Raw genomic sequence first — 23,251 nt, forward strand, 5'->3', positions numbered from 1 at the left:
GGCAACAGATCTCACCAGCTGAGAATTAAAGAAAAATTCTACTCCTAGGGCCAAAAGGAGACAACTTGGAAAGTTAGAAGTTAGAAGAAGTTCACAGCCATTTCATAAATGCTCAAAAAAAAAAAAAAAAAAAAACCCAAAACCAAAAAAAAAAAAAAAAGAAAAAAAAAAGAACACATTCTAAAGGTTTGGGTAAAAAATTTGCAAGAATTACTTGCTCTTTTCGCTGGGTGTGGTGGCTCACGCCTGTGATCCCAGCAATTTGGGAGGCCAAGGCAGGTGAATCACTTGAGCTCAGGAGTTCAAGACTAGCCTGGCCAACATGGCGAAAACCCATCTCTACTAAAAATACAAAAATTAGCCAGGTGTGGTGTTGCGCGACTGTAATCCCAGCACTTTGGGGGACCCAAGTGGGTGGATCACTTGTGCTCAGGAGTTCAAGACCAGCCTGGCCAACATGGCGAAACCCCATCTCTACTAAAAATACAAAAATCAGCCAGGCTTGGTAGCGTGTGCCTGTAATTTCAGCTACCTGGGAGGCTGAGGCAAAGAACTGCTTGAACTCGTAAGGCGGAAGTTGCAGTTAGCCAAGATCGCACCACTGCACTCCAGCTTGGGGGACAGAGAGAGACCCTAACTCAATTAAAAAAAGAAATTTTGTTTTGTTTTAATGAACCTTACAACAAAGCTGTTTATTTAAAAAAAATAAAAGCTGGTAACTAGTATGAGGTCAAATGCAGAAAGCCAGATTATAAAAAATTACCCATATAATGTGGAATATTAAAAATGGAAATATGAAAAAAATCTGAAAAATTATATGGGTGTGTTAGAAATGGATTAGTGAAGAAAGAACATGAAGAAATATAAAAGAACAGTATGGGAGGATGGTGAAGTCTAAAATACTATTGTCTTAAAGGAAAAAGTTTTTCATATTCAAAAGAGGAATGGATTGAATGTCTCAATTTAAAGTGACATCAAGCAATTCCAAATAAATGCCATGGTTTCTGGTCTATAGAGAAGGAAAAGTCTACATTCAAGTATGCTTGGTGTATAAATTAAGATTTTCATATGTCAAACCACTGTTCTAGTAAATATATATTATTACATTAATGCAGTGATAATTCCAGACACCAATTTCCCATGAGAGCCTATGGCTTCCTGAAGACATAACATGTCAAAGAAGTCTGTCGGAAGACTTAAAAATATACACACATATATATATTTAACAGAAAAATACTTTCTAATAAGCACACGAAATATTACCAACAATGTGGTATGATACATTTAAGAATGATATCCAAAATTTTAACCATTGGTATGGGCACTGATCAATCAGAAAGCAGGCTGGCCACACTACTATAGCAGGATCCTAGAGGCCCCAGATGGGACAGGCGTTAACCCTTTAGTTGCTGGGGAGTGTGATGGGGGGGAGGTCCAGTGGGAAGGCATTCAGAGGGCTCAGGGCAGCACCATTTACTAACCAGTATGGAAGTCTTTCCATATTTTAGCAACCAGCATGGCTATTCCAGCAGCCTTGAAGATACTAGCAGAGCATCAGCCCTGAGTGTGTCCACATAATACTCTGCAGGCACTATGTCTATTAATATGTAATGGCATCGAGTCATCCATGATACATTATTACATGAATGAGGTAGATTACATAACAGTGTGCATATTCTGATCCTTTTTAGTTCGTTGGCATGTGTGCAGGAAAAGATGGGAGTGAGAAGATTCATAGCCTCCAGTAGGATTGTGGGAGATTTTTATTTTTTCTTATTATATTTTCTAAACTTCTCACATATAAACACAAGTTAAAATGTTATGCTTAGAATACAGTATTATACTATTTTTGAAATTATGATGACTGGTACAAAAATATGAAAAGGGGAGTATTTACCAGTAAAGAAGCTCTGATCCAAAGAAAGCAAGAATGTGTAATTATTCTCCCTATTTTCATTACAAATAATAACACCCTCATAGAATATAGCACTGTACTCTTACATCAACTCATTAAGACACTAGGATCTGAATAAACCCTGTAGAATCATGGGATTTTACACCAAGAAAGACTCTTAGACGATCACATCTGTGTTGTGGTCAGGCAGGCTTCTGTTCAGACATACCTGGAAGTGTATGAATCCTGCCTTCTGCTGGCTTTGTTAAAATTCAAAGATCTGCCTTTAACTGACAATACATGATATTTCTACTCTAGAGTCCTGACGGAATCAATCAAATTCTTTGCTAGTCTATCCTTATCAAAAGATTAGCCTCAAAACACATACTCATGGAGGATTGCTCAGAAGAATAGAGTCCATGCGTTCACTGAATCGATGTATAATCTATCCTTGGATCATGCCATACAATGAAAGAGTCACATATCAGAAATCATAAGATAATGGTTTCAGCAGGGCGTGATGGCTCATGTCTGTAATCTCAACACTTTGGGGGACCGAGGTAGGAAGATTGATTGCCTAAGGCCAGGAGTTTGAGACCAGCCTGGGCAACATAGCAAGACCTTGTCTCTACAAAAAATAATAAAAAAAAAATTAGCCAGGCATGGTTGTGTGTGCCTGTAGTCTTGGCTAGTTGGGAGGCTGAGGCAGGAGGATCCCTTGAGCCCAGCAGTTTCAGGATACAGTGAGCCACTGCACTCCAGCCTGGCTGACAGAGCAAGACACTGTCTCAAAACAGTAATAATAATAATAATAATGGTTTCTCATATATTTGTCATGTGAAAAAAAAAGCTTCATACTATTTTAGGGGGCAGTTTTGAAACATAGTGTTCACAACATTGTATGGCATCAATTTTATAAATATCTGAAGTTTTTTTCCAGGCCCAACTTCTGAGGAAGGTGCACTTCCGCTGAGTAACTGCTTTGCTTTTATCATATGTATCCTAAGTCTTGAAAATAACCATGCTTCCTTTTTTCTGTTTGACTGCTGGGAAGCTCTAAAACAATTTGGAGCCTATCTTATGACATGTATTTTGTGTATTAACCTTAGTATGTGGCTTGTAATAGCACATTGGTTCAGGGCATGAAATCCAGAGCTCCATAATTTACTAGCCATGTGAACTTTGGGGAGTCACTTAACTCTCTGTGACTGAGATTTCTCAACTGTTAAATGGGATAATACCTATGTAATGGGATTGTTTTGAGAACTAAGTAAAGAAATGTAAAGCACTGTGCCTAGTAAACACTATTACTAATCTACTTTTTTTTTCCTGTGAAGAAACTGATACTGACCACACAGATCATCTCTTTCCAATAAGTAAGGTAGCTGTCTTTTTTTTTTTTTGAGACGGAGTCTCGCTCTTTTGCCCAGGTTGGAGTGCAGTGGCACGATCTCTGCTCACTGCAAGCTCCGCCTCCCGGATTCATGCCATTCTCCTGCCTCAGCCTCCCGAGTAGCTGGAACTACAGGCGCCCAACACCGCGCCCGGCTAATTTTTTGTATTTTTAGTAGAGATGGGGTTTCACCGTATTAGCCAGGATGGTCTCGATCTAAAGAAGTAAGGTAGCTTTCTAATATCCAACACTCACTCATATTTTTGAAAAGCCAGGGGAAATAACTTTATTTATATCCACTGCATTTGGATATAAGTTTCAAAATTTTTTTCAGAGCTTTCTATTAGCCAAAGGGGTTGGGAGGGGGCGTGGCAGGGAGAAACGCAGATTCATTGTACACACAAATAAAAAAGAACTTGCTCAGGGAAAGTGCAGAAAACGAAGAGTTGATTTTATTTCCTTCCTTCTCTTTCCTCCTCCTTCCCTCTGTCTCCTTTCCCCACATGGCTATATCTTTCTTACTTCCTTTCTTTCCTGCCTAGCATACATGGCAGACACAGATGAAAGCAACAAATCTACTTCATGAGCTACAAAGAATGCAAAAATGACCAGAGAAAAATAACCTGCTTTAATTATTATCATTTTATTACTTCCCATTTATGATAGAGCTCCTTGAATCAACTAATTTTACTAAATTACAAATATAAAATAAACATGTTTTATCATAACCATCACAACTGAAGACATAATGCATTTGTAACAGTTAATGACTTATCCATGAATTTTTCTCCTTTGGAAGCCTGAAGTGGCAAAGAAAGATATACTAAATCTAGTTTCTTCTTTTTTTTTTTTTAAGTATGGATTCCAGCATTGAAAGTAATCTAGTGAAAAATGACCTCCCTAATTTTGCATCAATAGCCAAATCTAAATGGAATTTGAGACAACAAATTTAAAAATGTCTGTTATGCTCAATTATGCTCAACGTGCTGTTGAACACATTGCTGGAGATTACTGTGTCATTTGTGGGCACATGTTTCTACAGGACTTAAATCATTTTTGTAGAGGTGAATAAAATCCAGAAACTTGGATATTTTTAAAAAGTATTTGTCAGCCAGGCGCGGTGGCTCATGCCTGTAATCTCAGCACTTTGGGAGGCCCAGGTGGGCGGATTGCTTAAGTCCAGTAGTTCAAGACCAGCCTGGGCAACATGGTGAAATGCCATCTCTGCAATAAAATACAAAAATTTGCTGGGTGTGGTGGCACAAGGCTGTAGTTCCAGCTCCTCGGGAGGCTGGGGCGGGAAGATCTCTGAGCCCAACAGGCGGAGGTTGCAGTGAGCTGAGATCATGCCACTGCATTCCAGTTTGGGCAACAGAGTGAGACTCTGCCTCAAATTAAAAAAAAAAAAAGTATTTGTCAAACATCATTGAACAAAAGTTACAACAAAAGAGTTATTAATCAGCAAACTCCTTTAAAATTTACACTTCCAATGCATTCTTCATATTATAGTTACCTATACCTTCTTCATTTTATAGTTAAGACAGTTTACAACAAACTTATCTAGTGATTGTAGACAAGAGGCTTGAGAATATACATTAAGAACAAAAGGAATGAAAACAGAGAAGGGTTTCCAAGTGATGCAAAAAATGAACTGTGCTAGACAAATATAAATGTCCAGATCCCACTTCAAGAAAGGATTTGCTGCCCAGCTGCAAAGATGGAGTTAGCTGCCAGCAACTTCAGTGTCTGCTTCAGCTGCAGAAAGCTACCTTGCTCAGGGCAGCCCACATCAGGCCACTGAGTAAGGAGTGGGTTGAAAAGCATGGCCACTTCTACAAGATATGGGATAACTCTGACAAACAATACGAACCCCAGAGAGACATCTGTGGGCCAGCATCACAGCTCTACTTCTTGCTCTCCCCAATCCTACTTCTTCACTTCTCCTTTTAAAGGTGATGATCCCTGAAAATAATCTTATATTCCAAACTCAGTGTCTGTTTATGGAAAACCTAACCTGTGACAGTGGTCCATTTTATATTACTAAGTAGGAAAAGGAAGCTCTAAAATAGTATGTGTCATATAAAGTGGTCCCAGTTTTAAAAAAATGAACATTGACATACACATAGGAAAAAGTATTAAACAATTTTACACTAAATTTTAACTGTAGTTAACACTGGAAGAGTAGGATCATGGGGAAGTTTCTCCTACTTTATACCTTTGGAAAAGACAGAGGCATAGTTAGATGTAGACAACCTGAGTTTCAATTTTCAGGTATAGATATTAACTCCATGAATATGTATTCACTTGGGATAGGTTAAATTATGCTGTGGTAACACACTTTCCCTAAAACAACAAACGCTTATTTCTCATTGGTGTTTTGGTCTATGTTCTACATTTCTTCATTCTGATATCCTGGCTGATAGAGAATGTCCATCTGCCAGTCTCATGGCAGAAGGAACAGGTAACACAGTGAGCATGTGCTGCCTCATAAAACTTCTGCTCAGAAATGCCACACAGAATTTCCACTCATGTATCGGTTCCTTAAATCAAGTTACATGATGTTGCCTGAATTCAAGTAAACAGGAATGAATAATCCTCCTGTAGGGAAGAGCACAGAATACAGTCGAAAAGTAACACAATCAACCACAGAATTTAAACAAATTACTCATCACACCTATTTCTTAATCTGTTAAGTGCAGATAACAGTACGATCTCAGCTGGTGAAAAGGAATGGAGAATACAGCCATCCTTTGGTATCTGTAAGAGATTGGTTCCAGGACCTCCCAAGAATACCAAAATTTGCAGATACCCAAATCCTTGGATGCTCAAATCTCTGATATAAAATGGCATAGTATGTGCATATAACCTATGCACATCCTCCAGTATATTTTAAATAATCTCTAGATTACTTATAATACCTAATACAGTATAAATGCTATGTAAATAGTTATACTGTATTGTTTAAGGAATGACAAGAAAAGAAGTATGTACATGTTCAGTACAGATGCCATTTTCCCCCCAGATATTTTAGAGCCACAGTTGGTTGAATCCACAAATCTGGAACCCAGGGAAACAGAAGGCTGACTATACTTACAAGCATTTATCCCACTGGATGATATGTAATAAGCACCAAGTGTTTATTACTATACATATTTTTACTTTAAAATTTTTATGAGTATGTGTTACTTTTATAATTTATTCTGCAAGTATTTACCAAGCATCTCTGTATCAAGCACCTTTCAAGGCTGTGCAAACAAAAGAGATGAAATCTCTGCCATCCACTGAAGGCAGGATAGATAGAGGCAGGCAGACAATCTGAACAAAATGAGCTTTCCAGGAAGGTGCAAAACTGGAGGCAGAGATACCTGGCAACACTGAGCACTGAAATCTCCTTTCTTTTGCCTGATTGCATTTATATGAAAGGTCCAGAACAGGCAAATCTGTAGAGACAGAAAGTAGATTAGTGGCTGCCTAGGGCTGGGTGGGCGGATGGGAACAAAGGGGTTGGGAGCAGATGGGGAGTGAATGACTGCTCATGAGTCCAGAGTTGCTTTTTGAAGTAATAAAAATATGCTAAAATTGATCATGGTGATTGTTACACAACTCTGTGAATATACTAAAAACCACTGAATTAAAAGTAAAGGCAGTAATTAAAATTCTAGGGGTTTTTTTTTTTTTTTTTTTTGAGGCAGAGTCTTGCTCTGTCTCCCAGGCTGGAGTGCAGTGGCGCAATCTTGGCTCACTGCAAGCTCCGCCCCCCCAGGGTTCACGCCATTCCCCTGCCTCAGCCTCCCGAGTAGCTGGGAATACGGGCGCCCACCACCACGCCCGGCTGATTTTTTGTATTTTTAGTAAAGACGGGGTTTCGCCGTGTTAGCCAGGATGGTCTCGATCCCCTGACCTCGTGATCTGCCTGCCTCGGCCTCCCAAAGTGCTGGGATTACAGGGGTGAGCCAGCGCACCCGGCCAGGTTTTTTTTTTTTTTTTTTTTTTTTTTTTTTTTTTTTTTACTTTTTACAGTTAAAGTCTTTTTATAAAATAAAGTATATTTTCTATGACTTAGTATCACTAGTTTTTTAAAGTATATTTTCTATGACTTAGTATCACTAGTTTTTTATAACTATCAAACTTGACCTTGAAAGAAAATTTGGTATCTACTTAATAGCTAAAAGTTATGAAAAAAGTAAACATTACCAAGTTAGATTTATCCAAGGAATACAAGGATAGGCTTAGTATGAGAAAAATCTATAAATCTGACCCATTATAATAACAGATAGAGAAAAATCATAATTATTCTAATAAATGCAGAGAAAGCATTTGATAAAATTCAACATTAAATTCATAATAAAAGGTCTTAGAAAAAATAAAAGAGATTTCCATAGAGCGTATCTAAGTAACCTACAGTAAACATCATCCTAAATGAAAAGATAATAAAAGCATTCCGATTTACAAATCAAAAAATAAATAATACTAAATTAAAGGTTCTAATAGCACATGAAATAATAAACTGAATTCAAAATGATGCAGAAGAATAAACAAATCTAACTTTATTTTTAGATATGATCATTTTTGTAGAAAACCAAAAAAAGTACAATTTATTAGAAATAAGAGAATTTAAGGTGAATATAAGATTATTGTCAAATACATTTCTTTATACCAATGACAAATACCTGAAAATGTAATTAAAAAGAAGACAGCATTTTCAATAATCTTAGAGAATACCAAGTACCTAGGAGTAAATATAATAACAAATATGTAAGATCTCTAAGTAAAAACTACAAAAAGACATTAGGAGACATTAAATAAAGACCTGAATAAATGGAGAAATATACCATGTTTGTGCATAAGAAGATTCAATATTGTAATTAGTTGACCTATAGATTTAACAAAATTACAATCAAAATTCCAACAGATCTTTTTCTTGCATCATGTAAAGCTAATTCTTTAAAAAAGCATGAACAATAAGGATTTTTTTTAAAGTCAGGAAATTTCTGAAGACACTAGAGGAAGCTGCCCTATCAGACATAAAGACTTACTGTGAAGCTGTGGTAATTAAGGCATAATAAAACAAATTGGACAAATTAACTGAATTAAATAGGAAACTACAACAGACCCACACATTTATGGGACTTTGGCTATGCCAGAAGAAACACATGATATTGATGGGAAAATTAGGAACTATTCAATAAGTGGAGGTGGAAAAAATGATTATGCATGTAGTTAAAGGCGAAAATTAGAGTTCTGTATCATACAAGATATAAGATCCAAATCCAAATGTATTAAAAACTATAATGTCAAAAACAAAACTTAAATTCTCTTAGTAGAAAGCACACATGAAAATATTTTAGATTAATGGAAGAATTTTAAAAATTTAAACAATACAAAAAAAGCACTAACTATAAAATACAAATGATATACATTGACTTTTAAAATTAAAAAATTTTTGGCTGGGAGTGGTGGCTCACGCCCGCAATCTCAGCACTTTGGGAGGCCACGGGGGCGGATCACAAGGTCAGGAGTTTGAGACCAGCCTGGCAAACATGGTGAAATCCCGTCTCTACTAAAAATACAAAAAATTAGCCGGGCATGGTGGCCCATGCCTGTAATCCTAGCTACTCGGGAGGCTGAGGCAGGAGAATTGCTTGAACCCAGGAGGCATAGGTTGCAGTGAGGCAAGATCACGCCATTGCACTCCAGCCTGGGTGACAGAGCAAAGCTCTGTCTCAGGAAAAAAAAAAAAAAAAAAATTAAAAATTTTTTGTTCATCAAAATGTATTTTCAGGCCAGGCGTGCTGGCTCATGCTTGTAATCCCAACACTCTGGGAGGCCGAGGCGGCTGGATCACCTGAGGTCAGGAGTTTGAGACCACCCTGGCCAACATGGTGAAATCCCATCTCTACTAAAAATACAAAAATTAGCCAGGCATGGTGGCAGGCCTCTGTAATCCCAGCTACTCAGGAGGCTGAGGCAGGAGAATTGCCTGAACCTGGGAGGCAGAGGTTGCAGTGAGCCAAAATCGCGCCACTGCACTCCAGCCTGGGCAACGTAGCCAGGATCTGTCTCGGGGGACAGGGAAATAAATTTAACAGTGTATATTTAATTGGTTTGATAAATTGTACGAGCAAATAATTGGTCAGTACATAGATATATATGTTAGTTAACTAAAAATACTAAGTAGTTACAGAAAGTAATGACCTATATTTTCCTTTATGAGACTCTTTTTAATAAGAGTTTAACTTAAATAAATACAATACACCTAAGGCTAGTATAGGGTGGTTTTTCTAGCTCCACCTTTTAACTGTTCTTAGCCTCTTCAGGACACAAATTTTATTTTGTTTATTAAAACCATGTGAAGTGGCATTGTTACTATCCCTTGCCCTCCTTTTTATAAAAAATTGAGGAAGAAACTGAGGCTCAGAAAGACTGAGTAGTCTTTCTAGACCACGAAGCTAGTTAAGTTATGGTTCCAGGATTTAAAGCCTGACAACTGACCCCAGGATCAACATTTAATCACTAGGCTATCACTGTGATGTGAGATAATCTATGTACTAAAAAGCCATATCAGACCATATAAAAGACAGGCTAGACAGTAAGTAAACTTGTAACCATGCCCTCTGTTTGCCCTTACTCTGAGAAGATTTCTATTAAGTTTGCAATATGAGGCAATCTCTGCTATGACTTCATGATAAGGAAAAAATCATGCTGGTCCTTTGCTGCCCTCTTATGGAAGATGTACATAGATATACAAAAAATTCCCAGCCAATAACTGCAGTCTAACTTTGCCACCATAACTAAACTATTTCAGGTGTACCTAGCTTTACATGATAGATAAGATTCTAGAACAATGCAACTGGTACATAAAAGGTACTCAGTGAACGTGCAGAACTGCAATGAAAACTTTCTGTCTCTTTGATATGCACTAAGCGCTTGATCTTATAAAAATCCTATGATAAATTATTTAAATGGCAAATCGCCCTCCAATTTAATTGTTGTGGTATACAGATTTATATATATCATATTTATTTAACATTATAAAATGTTATCATGTGGCCAATTTATTCACAATAAAGGTATGAATAAAATAATAATCTAAAAATGTCAGTTTAATCACTTGTTTCAAGCAACTTTGTCTCTTTTTAAGGCCAAAATCTAACAAATAATCTAAGTGAATGGTTTGAGTTTCTTCTAATTTCTTGCTCTTTATTTAATCTCTGTTTGTTGTGACCATGATTTCTCTTAGAAGAGACTAAGTGTCTTGAACTCTGAGATGGGCCTAAACAATTCAAAACAAAATCTATGAAGAGCATTGCTCGAAGTTTTAATGTAGGGAAATAGTTCTCTCCCTAGCCATTTTGGTTTTGACAAGGCTGTGAACGATTAAACACTAAAACCGATAATCTTATGGAGGCAAAACAGTGAGTGATTTTTGCAACTAAACAGCAATGAAAATTATTTCACTAAGTTATGGATGGTCTTACATGGATGAGCTTATGCAAGAGCACTTCTCCAGGCTCTCTACTAGAATGGAGTGTTTAGATCCTTAGAGTTAGACTTCACCTGGCTCTCTTCACCAGTACAAAAGGCTACATACCTCACTGAGATGTGTGATGTGTATCATTCCTAAATATTGGGTAGCTATTACAGTTTTTTTTTTAAAAGTATCAAAAAATATTGCCTAGATGTAGCTTTATCACAGAACATGCTAATTTTTCAAAGGCTTTCCTAATTCATGTCTTCCTCCCTATTTTCGATATTACACTAGTTCAGGCTCTTACAATTTTACGTTCATCCATCAAACACTGTATTTCTTGAGCACCTACTATTATGTGTAAGCACTGTGTTAGCAGGTAGGCCAGAGTGATAAACAAAAGAGACATGGTCTGATCTCATATAGTTTATAGTCTAATAAGAAAACAAACAAACAGGCCGGGTGCGGTGGTTCACGCCTGTAATCTCAGCACCTTGGGAGGCCAAGACAGGCGGATCACCTGAGGTCGGGAGTTTGCGACCAGCCTGACCAACATGGAAAAACCCTGTCTCTACTAAAAATACAAAATTAGCCAGGATGGTGGCACATGCCTGTAATCCCAGCTACTCGGGAGGCTGAGGCAGAAGAATTGCTTGAACCTGGGAGGTGGAGGTTGTGGTGAGCCGAGATTGCACCATTGCACTCCAGCCTGGTGACAGAGTGAAACTGCGTCTCAAAAAAACAAACAAACAAAACACACAGGAAAAAAAGAGAAACTGACACCAAACAAACAGGCAAATAAATATACTGACAAACAGTCCAACAAGGTTTTATCAGGGAAAATAATAGGATACTTTAAGAAAGTTATAGAAAAAAACAGGTCCTAATTTATCTAGGAACCAGAGGGAAAGCTGTTATTTAGATAAGGGCTATCTGTGAGACGGACATTTAAGCCAACACTTGAAAAATAAGTCATGGTGATCAAGAGGAAGAGTGAGAACAGAGAAATCCAGGCAGTAGAAATATCAAAAACCCTAAGCTTTAATGTAGGAAAAAGCATGGCATGTTTTAGGATTAACACAAGGGCCAGTGTGGCTGAAAGATTAAACTGAAAAATAGGCAAGGTTTAAATAATCAAGGCTTTACAGCCACATTAAGAAGTTTGACTTTTATTTGATTTTTATTCCAAGTAATACAGTACATATATATAATTTCCCAATAAGTATTTTGGAAATTATTTTATTCATGATTTGGAAAATACAATCCTAAGAACAGATCTGCATGATAGAAAGATAATATGTATTCTAGAATTCTGAATCCTTTTTTTTTAATTATTATTTTTATGTATTTATTTTTGAGACAGGTCTCACTCTGTCACCCAGGCTGGGGTGCAGTGGCGCAATGACAGCTCACTGCAACCTTGAACTCCTGGTCTCAAGTGATCCTCCCACTTCAGCCTCCTGAGTAGCTGGGGCTATAGGCATGCTGCACCATGCCCGAATTCTGAATCCTTTACTGGAAACCTCACCTTTCCTCCAGTCACAAGGACCCCCCTGGGCTTCCATACTGCACTCGTCCCACTTCCTGACCTGAGGACACACCCAGCAATACCACTTCCTCTCCTACAGTAAGGCTAGCACTTTCTGGGACCCAAACCTAGCCTAGTTATGACACCTAAACACAAACTAAGCCACAACCTACTTATCCAGTCACAGCCAGTACCAAGGAGCCCTGGACTCTTTCTAACTCTTCCTATGTCAATGGCTGACCAAAGACCAATTGCATTGAAGAAGTTTTATAATATATGATTTACTAACTAAGGCATAACAAAGAAGAATAAACAACCTGTTTTTGAAAGCAAATTCTAAAAGTGAAATTTGCAACTATATGGATATTGTTAGCAAAAATATGTCTATGCTACATTTGTCCCATTTTAAAAAATGAATATGCATTTATTTAGAAAATATCTCCTAAATACATACCGTATCCTAGACATATTTTCAAAATGCAGAAGCACACAGTAGAAACTAAAGTTATTTTTCATTAAAAAGTGCAATTTATATTAGCAAATAATGGGTTTATTGATATTTTAAGTGAATTAATAAAAATTTTTACATTTCTCAATGTTAATAGATTACAACAAGTATTAGCAGGTATTACCTTCATAAATAAAAGCTCTTCGATCATTTTTAAGGCCATAAAGGGGTCCTCAGACCAAAATGTTTGAGAACCACTGTCACTGGTTCAGGAAGAGACTAAAAAGAGGAAAGAAAGTTAGGAAGATGGTTTTGTAGGCATGAATGCCTGTTTTAGTATACCTATAGAGGGAATGAATCACATTTGAGACAATATGAATTAAGGACATTAACATCCCTAAATATTAATAGCTAAAGATTTGTGGTATCTCTCTTATTATATATTCAAAATAAAACAACATTAAGCCATAGAATAAATGTGATGAAATCCAACATATCTCTGAGATTTTCTGATTTCAATGATCTTTTTGAAATATCAAGTAACACAACCTTCCACCCACACCATACATTTTTAGATTCTCTTGTTTTGATGATACCCAAAACGTGCTCATTGTAAATACTAGGCAAACAGGCTCCTTGCTACTCTAAGTGACTTCCATTAACCAGTACCAGCATCCCATGGGAACTTGCTGGAATTGCAAAAGGGAAGACCTCACCCCAGACCTACTAAATCAGAATCCACATTTTAGAAAGATTCCCTAGATGATTTTTACATGCGGTGGACTTTGAGAAACACTGGGCTAACTAATATAGATGCTTAGGAATTCGTTATTGATCAATGTTAGATCCATAGAAAAGAAGAAATTTCAAAGGACTTACAGGATGGATGGTGATTATAACGTTATGAAATGACCCTTTGATAATGTATTCAATTCTCTGGCACATGAAATTGATATTTTATTTGCGATACACATAGTAAAACAAATATATATTCTCCAGCTTTCACAGAATGTATAAAACATAGTAAACAGATTTCCAGGATCTGTGTAATGAATTTTTGGAATCCACGCTTATGTTATTATGCTAAAAATTCATGAGAGAACCTTTGCTTCCTGCTATATAGAACAGCAGGAACCAGACTTAACCTGCTTAATAACTAGAAAACCAGACAAAATATAAAACCAACTGTGTCAGATGCTGGACAACAGATAGCACAGCACTATGATCCCTAGGAGCAGAGAAGCAAATGAAGAGAGCCCTAAAACTACTACAGTTTTTGGCCTGAATGCCATTACAAACTGCAGAAGAGGGAAGAGAATTTCAAGTAGACCACAGTAGTGCAGATAAATTGAGGTATTTAGAGGCTAGTCTTCTGAGAGTCTGAAGTAACTGAAAGTTGCAGGGCAGGGACCTGGAGAGGTGGGAGACAGACAGAAAAAAATGTGAATAGGGGTGTGATTTTACATGAGGCTGCACAAAGAGGAATTACGTGACTATGAGCTGGATGGTTCCAGTATTGCACATACAACTGAATGTGACAAGGACAGACAAGGATGCCCACACTTATCACTTACATTCAACATAGTACTAGAAATCCTAGCCACAGAAATTAGGCAAGGAAAAGAAATAAAAGGCATCCAAATCAGAAAGGAAGAAGTAAAATTGTCTCTGCAGGTGACATCATCCTATATACAGAAAACCCTAAATACGCCACTAAAAACTGTTAGAATGAATAAACGAATCCAGTAAAGTTTCAGGATACAAAATCAACATACAAAAATCAATTACACTTCACTAACAGTGAAGTATCCAAGAAAGAAATTAAGAAAGCAATCCCATTTACAATAGCATCAAAAGGAATAAAATACTTAGGAATAAGTTTTACCAAGGAGGGGAAAGATGTGTATGCTAAAAGCTATAATACATATATGAAAGAACTGGAGATGACACAAATAAATGGAAAGCTATCCCATGTTCAGGATCAGAAGAATCATTATTGTCAAAATGTCTGCAATACACAAAGTAGTCTACAGATTCAACGCAATCTCTAGCAAAACTCCAATGACATTTTTCACAGAAAAAAAAAAAAAATTCCTAACATCCATACAGAACCCAAAAGACCCAGAATATCTAAAATGATCCTGAGCAAGAAGAACAAAGCTGGTGGCATCACACTTCATTTCAAATTATATTACAGACCTACAGTAATCAAAACTGTATGGTACTGGCATAAAAGGAGACATATAGACCAATGGAACAGAATAGGAATCCCAGAAATAAATCCTCGTTTATGTGGCCAACTAATCATCAACAAAGGTGTCAAAAGTACACAATAAAGAAAGGATAGTCTCTTTAATAAATGGTGTTGAAAAAGCTAGATAACCACATGCCAAGAAATGAAATTGGACCCTTATCTTACCCCATCCACAAAAGTCAATTCAAAATGGTTAAAAGAGGCCAGGCGCAGTGGCTCTTGCCTGTAATCCTAGTCCCTTGAGAGGCTGAGGCGGGTGGATCACTTGAGGTCAGGAGTTCAAGACCAGCCTGGTGAAACCCCATTTCTATTAAAAATACAAAAATAAACCGGGCACAGTGGCACATGCCTATAATCCCACCTACTCGGGAGGCTGAGGCAGGAGAATCACTTGAACCCAGGAGGTGGAGGTTGCAGTGAGTCAAGATCATACACCACTGCACTCCAGCCTGGGCAACAGAGGGAGACTCTGTCTCAAAAAAAAAAAAAAGTGAAAAGACTTAAGTGTAAGACATGAAACTGTAAAACTAGAAGAAAACAGTGGAAAAGCTCCATGACATTAGTCTTGGCAATAATTTTGTTTGTTTGTTTTGTAAATGACACCAAAAGCACAGGCAACAAAAGCAAAAATAAGCAAATGGAACTAAACCAAACAAAAAAGCTTCTGCACAGCAAAGGAAACAACAAAATGAAAAGGCAGTCCACGGAATGGGAGAAAATACTGAAAAACCTTTTATCTAACAAGGGGTTAATATCCAAAATATACAAGGAACTCATACAAAGAACTCATGCCTGTAATCCCAGCACTTTTGGGAGGCCAGAGCTGGAGGATCACTTGAGGCCAGGAGTTAGAGACCAGCCTGAGCAACACAGTGAGACTCTGTCTCTATAAAAAATTTAAAAATTAGCTGGGTGTGGTGATGTGTGCTTATAGAGTAATATAGTTACTCAGAAGGCTGAGGTGCAGAAAATACAAATATTAGCCATGCCTGGTGGCATGTGCCTGTAGTCCCAGCTACTCAGGAGGTTGAGGTGGAAGGATCACTTTGAGTCCAGGAGTTTGACGCTACAGTGAGATATATTCATGACACTGCACTCCAGCAGCCTGGGCAACAGAGCAAGACCCTGTTATCCCTCCAAAAAAAAAAAAAAGAAAGAAAAAGAAAACAAAATTACTCCAGATGGTAATGAATCCACAAGAAAAATAAACAAACAACCTGAAATGATAAATAAGGTTACTATAACAAAAGCTACAAATATATATTTGCTTTCCTTTGTTCATTTTCTTTAAATGATGTAAAAGTAATAATTGTAGTAATGTATTGTTGAGTTTGTAACAACTATAACATGTACAACAACAAAACCACAAAAAAACAGGGACATGGAATAAAACTATATTGGAGTAAGGTTTCTATATCTCACTGCAATTGAGTTAGTATAAATCTGAAGCTGATTCTAATAAGTTAAGCTAATTGTACGGTAAGCCCTAGAGCACCACTACAGTCTCTAAAAAAAACTTAAAACAGTGTAAAAAATCATTCAAGAAATTAAAATGCTACATTAGAAGATATTCACTTGATCCAAAACAAAGCAGTAAAGGAGAGACAGGAAAAGAAAAAGACAAGACATAAGGAAAACAAAAATAAGATGGCATACATAAATCCAACTATATCAATAACATTAAATGTGAATGATTAAACAATTGGATCAAAAGGCAGAAATTATCAGATTAAAAAAAACAAGATCCGGCCAGGCACAGTGGCTCATGCCTGTAGTCCCAGCACTTTGGGAGGCCGAGGCAGGTGGATCACAAGGTCAGGAGTTTGAGACCAGCCTGGCCAACATGGTGAAACCCCGTCTCTACTAAAAATACAAAAATTAGCTGGGCGTGGTGGCGGGCCCCTGTAATCCCAGTTACTGGGGAGGCTGAGGTGGGAGAATCGTCTGAACCCGGGAGGTGGAGGTTGCAGTGAGCCCAGATCACGCCATTGTACTCCAGCCAAGGAGGCAGGGCAAGACTCTGTCTCAAAACAAAAAACAAACAAACAAACAAAAAACAAACCAAGATCCAACTATATGTCTACAGGAGACACATTTTAGAGTCAATGATACAAAGCATGTAAATAGTAATCACGTGAGAACTGAAATAGCTACATTAATATCAGACAAAATAGACTTTAAAACAATGTTACTAGAGAAAAAGAGAAACATTTTTAATGATAAAAGGATAAACCCACAAGGAAGATGTAACAATTTACAAGGATAGATGCACCTAGTAACAGAATATATGTAGCAAAAACTGACAGAAATGAAGGGACAAATTGATACCTCAAGAACAGAAGATTAAGTCTTTCATACTCCTGTTCCAACTAGTTAGACTCCACAACAGGTAACATGACTGAAACAGAACTCTATTTAGTTTCCCCCAACTTTCAGTCTCTATCTTGGTAAGTAGCAACTGTATCTGTTTAACTGCCCAAACCAAAATTCTTTAAGTCACTTTCTCTTGAATTCCACATCCCATCAATCAGTGAATCCTATAACTTCTCCCTTCAAAATATATCCAGAACCCAATCATTTTTCCCTACTTACACCCTGATCGAAACTAACACCATCTCTCACAGAGATTACTTAAATACTCTCCTAATTGGATTGCATCTTCCTCCCCTGGTCCCTTGCAGTCTATCTCCATATGGCAGCCAAATGAGCCTTCTAAAACAAATCAGGTCACTCCTCAACCCTGAACTTACTCTGTCCAGTAAACTTTTTTTTCAAAATAATTATTTTTATTTTTATTTTATAGAGATAGGGTTTCCCTATGTTGCCCAGGCTGGCTCGAACTCCTGGGCTTAAGGGATCTTTCCACTTCAGCCTCCCAAAGTGACACAATTACAGGCCTGAGCCACTATGCCCAACCTGTCCAGTACACTTTCAGTGAAATCTAAATCCTACAAACTCCCTTTCCTGCATTACTTCCTACTCCCTTAATCACCCTACTCTCATCGCACTGGCCTCTGCCATTTTCAGCAAGTTGATAAACCCAATTTATAATATAATTCTATTTTTAGAAAACACTACAGGCCCAGCACGGTGGCTCATGCCTGTAATCCCAGCACTTTGGGAGGCTGAGGCGAGTGGATCACGAGGTCAGGAGTTCGAGACCAGCCTGGCCAAGATGGTGAAACCCCGTCTCTACTAAAAATATAAAAATTAGCCGGGCGCAGCGGCGGGCGCCTGTAATCCCAGCTACTCGGGAGGCTGAGGCAGGAGAATTGCTTGAACCCGTGAGGCGGAGGTTGCAGTGAGCCGAGGTCGCACCATTGCACCCTAGCCTGAGCAACAGAGCAAGACTCCGTTTCAAAAAATAAAAATAAAATAAAATAAAATAAAACCACTACATATATATGCATAAAAAAGGATTGCCCAAAATGTGACTATTCACCTACGGTTAGCAGGATTATAAATTTTAATTTTTAAAAAGTTTTTCCTATTGTGAAAAATTATTTCTAATTCATGTGTTACTTATAATAAAGTATATGAAAAGCTGTGTATCAAACACACAATATATTGTATAAAATATATGAAAAGCTGTGGATCAAACCCCATACCCCTACTGTGGTTAATAGTATTTAAGTATATTCAAAATCTGGAAATAAATCATACATGTCACCAAAAAACCACAACAAAAGAAAAATTTGCCTGCAGTAATACAGCATTTACTAACAATACATGCTGCAGGCACTTCCACTCATTATTTCATCTTACTCTCATAATAATTCTATGCAATCAGAACCATTATCCCCATGTTACTGTGTAAAATGAGGCTCAAAAAAGTTAAACTCTTTGAAATTGCACAGTAAGTTGTGAAGCCCAGGTCTGCCTGACTTGAATGCTCACGTTCTAAATACTAATCTAGCTACTGCCTCATCACATAGTAGTTACAAGCAACAGTGCAAAGTTGAAATAACCTAGACATACAATAACAAAGGAAAAAGAGTGTAGTTATAAAAATGCTTACTGAAACTAGAATTATGTATGTAAAAATTGGGAGACATGTTACATGAAAGAGCAAACTATCATATTCTACACGTGAGTACAAGAAAATTTAACATTTCATATGGAAAAAAGCCAAAATAAACCAATATATTCAAGTTGGTTCAGTGTGGGTAATGGAACTCTGGGTGATTTTCATTGTTTTGCTTTGTTATCCTTTGGTTTGCACCAAAATTGCTTCAATACTAACAACAAAAACAACAAAAACAAATTACGTTCTCATAAACTTTGTTTTGTAACAAAGGAAAATTCTGCCCAGTGTTCCAAACACCTCAAAGTTCCAAGTCTAGGTCTAAACCAGAGTCGTTAAGTATTCTCTGAAAAGCGATCTACTCTTAATTGACATCTGGCGACTCTACATGGACCAATGGCTTCCTCCGCAGGATGTTATGATCTTTATTTTGTTTGTAGCCTACGGAAGAATGAGCCTATTAAGAGCTTATTGAGATTGATGATTGCACAGTGTAGCTTGAAAGGTCCAAATTTAATCCGTTTCAACGGGAGGAACAAAATTCAAAACTGTTTTCAAAGTATTTCGAGAATGTGTCCCTTATCTGGAAGTAATACTTAAAACGAAGCAAACAAAGACGGTAAGAGAAAGTCACAAATGCAAGCTCGCGCCCGAAGCCAGCCTCGGGCAGGTACACTTTGGTGTGGTGTGGCGGCGGCAGGGCGCCAAGCGCCGTGGTTTTTACGGTCTCGTCAGCAAGCAGGGCCGACCTCCGCTTTATCGGACAGGACCAACGCAGGATCCGGGGCGCGGCGGCGACAGGGCCCCGAGGCAGATGCCCGAGCTAGAACTCTGGCGCCTACTTACTCCTCGGCCGGCCCGGCTGCTCCGAAAAACGACCTCACAGGAATGGCTGCAAGAGCGCCGCCGCCGGCAGGGGCTGAGGAGAACGAGCCTGGGGCTCCGGGCCCAGAGATGAGACGCTCTGGCTGGGAAGCAAGGAGCATCGGCACCGACGGATAGAGGCCGGTGGCCCTCAGGTTGAGCAGGCGGCTTCGGGGCGGGGAGAGAAGGGACCAAGGCCCACCGCAGGCCTCAGATCCTCCCACGCCTCCCCGCTGCTACCCAACGATGACGCAAGTACGCATGCGCCTCCCCAGCTGCCGCTGGGAAGAGCGCGCTCCCCAGGGCCCCGCCCCCTCCAAGGATTTCCGGGGAGGCGGGTTCCACTGCTGACTTACCGGTTTTACTCCTCTGCTCAAAAGGCGCCTGCCCGAGGCCGCTTTCCGTTGCAAAGGTTCCTGAATTTGGGGAGGAAGAGCAGCAAGACTGAAATATTGGGCATACGTTTGTTGCTTCATAAACGTTTGCTGAATGAATAAACTGATACGCCGATGTTTGCTTTAATTGTAACTCCCCCTGCCGCAGTTCCCAGTCTTTGAAAATTACAACAGCAACATAGTTTTGGGCGTGTCCTTGACAAATGTGTTTCATTCCCCAGGTAGTACCGTGCAAGTGAACTTGGTGAGAATTTTTTCAAGGAAATTTTTGCCAGCATCGATTTTTGAAACTTAGTTTTTACCATGCTCTTTAAAAAAATAAACACTTGGTTTGTTCAAATACCAACTTTAGTCACACAATCTGGCTTCAGCACCTATTGTTCGGGCCCCATATATCGTTCTCCACACTTAGGATGCTTCATCTCCACATAAAGCATAACTGCAAAATACACAGGGCAGAAGGAGACCTGGGAGATAATACTATGGTTGCAGAAATTAAGACCAGCCTGAGCTCTCGACAACAAGAAAGAGACACAGCGAAAACAAGGCATTTATTTATAATAGGCTCTTGCAAGCAAGGAAAAATAAGGCATTTTCTGATTCGAACGTAGTGCTCTATTACCCCTACTCAACAAACATTTGAATGCCAAAGAGCTGTGAGGGTGGATGCTTAACAAGCAGATGCTAAGCGAGGTTATATTTTTGTAGGAAGCAGCCTGATAAGAAAAGAGCAGATTTTCGAGTCAGATTTTAGTTCAAAAATCAGCTTTGTACTTGGGAACTCAATCATAAGCAAATTACCTTACCTCTTAGTGTCGGTTTGTTCATGTGTAAAACGTGTTAATAGTACCTGACCCAATCTCTTGCCTTCAAGTATATCACTCTATTTCCAAGATGAGATCTCTCACAGTTCTACTACGTACACCGTTAATTTTAACATTATTTAAAAATAGTTTACTAAGTTTATTTCATTTATTTATTTGAGACGGCGTTTTTGCTTTTGTTGCCCAGGCTGGAGTGCAATGGCGCGATCTCGGCCTCCCGGGTTCAAGCGATTCTCTTGCCTCAGCCTCCCGAGTAGCTGAGACTACAGGCGCCACCACGCCGGCTAATTTTTTGTATTTTTAGCAGAGACGGAGTTTCGCTATGTTGGCCAGGCTGGACTCGAACTCTTGAGTTCAGGCAATCCGCCCGCCTCGGCCTCCCAAAGTGCTAGAGGATTGCAGGCGTGAGCCACCGCGCCCGGCCCTAACATTTCAAAACGTTTGGAATTCAGGCAACAAGAGACATTTTGTAAGAACATTTAAAACCCTTCTCCCCTGGAAATCAAGAGATATGTATGGAGTCTGGAGATTCCGAACTCAATTTTCTAGGACAAAGGCAAACTCAGATGATTACAAGAATGAAAGTGATCGTCACGCTGCTTCCAGGTTCCAAAGTATGGATAATTTTTTTTTTTTTTTTGAGATGGAATCTTGCTCTGTCGCCCAGGCTGGAGTGCAGTGGCGTGATCTCAGTGCAAACTCCGCCTCTCGGGTTCAAGCGATTCTCCTGCCTCAGCCTCCGGAGTAGCTGGGATTATAGGCGAGCGCCACCACGCCCAGCTAATTTTTTGTATTTTTAATAGAGACGGGGTTTCACCATGTTGGCCAGGCTGGTCTCCAAATCCTGGCCTCAGGTGATCCGCCCGCCTCGGCCTCCCAAGGTGCTGGGATTACAGGGGTGAGCCACAGCGCCAGGCGAGAAATATTTTTTTAAAGAGGAATTAAAGAACCTAATTGGTTTTGAGAGTTCTCCAAGAGCCAGTAAATGTTTTCCCCACAATATTCCATTCTACCCCATTACTGTAGAGTCGTTATAGAAGAAAACAAAATCACATAACGCAACTTGGGCCAAAAAACATTACACGTTCCAATTACGGAAATAACGAACTGAATCGTGTCACCCTTGAACTATGTAAAAGTTGAAAAGATGTTCAGTGTTAAATGTAGTAACAGTTCCACATTAAAAGATATTTACGTTCGAGTTTACAGTATTTAAAAATGCCTTTCTACACACTTTCCCGGGAAGTTAATGCCACTTCAGTTGAGCTGTCTAGCGAGATGGTTAAGCATTTACTGTGTCTCTAACACCGACCAGGGGAAAAATCATCAATTCGTTTGCCCGAGTTTAAGAGAATTTTCACCTAACTTCTAATCTCCACAGCCAATCAGTTCTTGGAACCGCACACCCGATGCCGACATCCCTCTCTTGTTGGCTCCCCTCGTTAGCGGGATTCAATAACTAAACGTCCATTTCTAGCATTGACTGAAGAGCTCAAGCTTGACACTCGACCTCAATCCTTAGCAGCACCGCCCACCATGCTCCCGGAAGCTGCGACACTACGCCCTGCGCTAGTCCCGGGACGTGGGGTTTTATATCCGGATTCTTAGCGCGGACTCAGAACCCAGCTCTTCCCTACACGGTCGGCACATGCGCGGCAGCTCTTTTCCTTCTTCCTCCACTTCCCCTACCCTCCACCGTCCGGGAGCCGCCGCCACCGCCGCCGAGGAGTCAGGAAGTTCAAGATGGCCGCCGCGGAGACCCAGTCGCTACGGGAGCAGCCAGAGTAAGTAGTCTCTGTGAGTGGGCCAGAAGCTGGAGCCCGGGGACTGCCGAGTGGGAGCTGCACGGGGTGGCGGGAAAGTTCGGGCCTAACGGCGAGAGTCAAACTTTGCTTTTTCCGGCGCGATTCGTTGTGGGGTGGGAGGCATGGGGAGCAGGCGGCCTTCGAGCTTCCTTCTCCCAGAGGCCGTGGCTGCTGGGGTGAAGGCGGCCGCGGCCTGCCGCGCGTCGTTGCCCCGGGAGGCGTAGGCGCGAGCGGCCTCTACAGGTCCGGTGCGCGTGGCGGCTGCCGCGGCAGTGAGGTCGCGCTTTCCTATGCCTCTTTTGGGGACCCATCTGAGCTCCCTGGCCGCAGCTCTTAGCGGCATCTGTGTTGGGG

At 39.6% G+C, this 23,251-nt stretch overlaps 1 protein-coding gene and 1 long non-coding RNA gene across 38 annotated transcripts in view, besides 2 other annotated features; one reads left to right on the top strand and one right to left on the bottom strand.

The window, feature by feature from the left end:
- Nucleotides 1-3,911: 3,911 nt before the first annotated feature.
- LOC124901245 (uncharacterized) lies at nucleotides 3,912-22,577 on the bottom strand. 3 transcript variants are annotated; one of them, XR_007059414.1, is made up of 3 exons: nucleotides 22,454-22,577; nucleotides 20,230-20,289; nucleotides 3,912-19,977 (listed from the first exon to the last, which is right to left on the bottom strand). It is a non-coding gene; the product is annotated as an uncharacterized LOC124901245 (long non-coding RNA). The 3 variants fall into 3 exon arrangements; XR_007059415.1 differs by having other exon boundaries at nucleotides 3,912-13,010; nucleotides 20,230-22,577; XR_007059413.1 differs by having other exon boundaries at nucleotides 20,230-22,577.
- Nucleotides 19,962-20,011: an enhancer, noted in NCBI's record as "active region_23894". NCBI's record gives its function as "activates an Ori minimal core promoter by ATAC-STARR-seq in GM12878 lymphoblastoid cells {active_cell/tissue: GM12878}" and the evidence as "EXISTENCE:reporter gene assay evidence [ECO:0000049][PMID:35858748]".
- Nucleotides 22,541-22,850: an enhancer, noted in NCBI's record as "active region_23895". NCBI's record gives its function as "activates an Ori minimal core promoter by ATAC-STARR-seq in GM12878 lymphoblastoid cells {active_cell/tissue: GM12878}" and the evidence as "EXISTENCE:reporter gene assay evidence [ECO:0000049][PMID:35858748]".
- Nucleotides 22,710-23,251, top strand: part of PRP4K (pre-mRNA processing factor kinase PRP4K) — a 43,684-nt gene continuing 43,142 nt past the window's right edge. For all 35 annotated transcript variants that reach the window (XR_007059353.1, XR_007059354.1, XR_007059355.1 and 32 more), the window contains exon 1: nucleotides 22,710-22,876. Coding sequence is in view for 2 of the 35 variants with exons in the window: in NM_003913.5 (NP_003904.3) it covers nucleotides 22,836-22,876 (41 nt within the window). In the remaining 33 variants the exon portion in view is untranslated. The remainder of the gene's footprint in view (nucleotides 22,877-23,251) is intronic.

The sequence above is a fragment of the Homo sapiens genome, chromosome 6 (genome assembly GCF_000001405.40).
Source record: "Homo sapiens chromosome 6, GRCh38.p14 Primary Assembly".
In the NCBI taxonomy this organism is placed as follows: domain Eukaryota; kingdom Metazoa; phylum Chordata; class Mammalia; order Primates; family Hominidae; genus Homo; species Homo sapiens.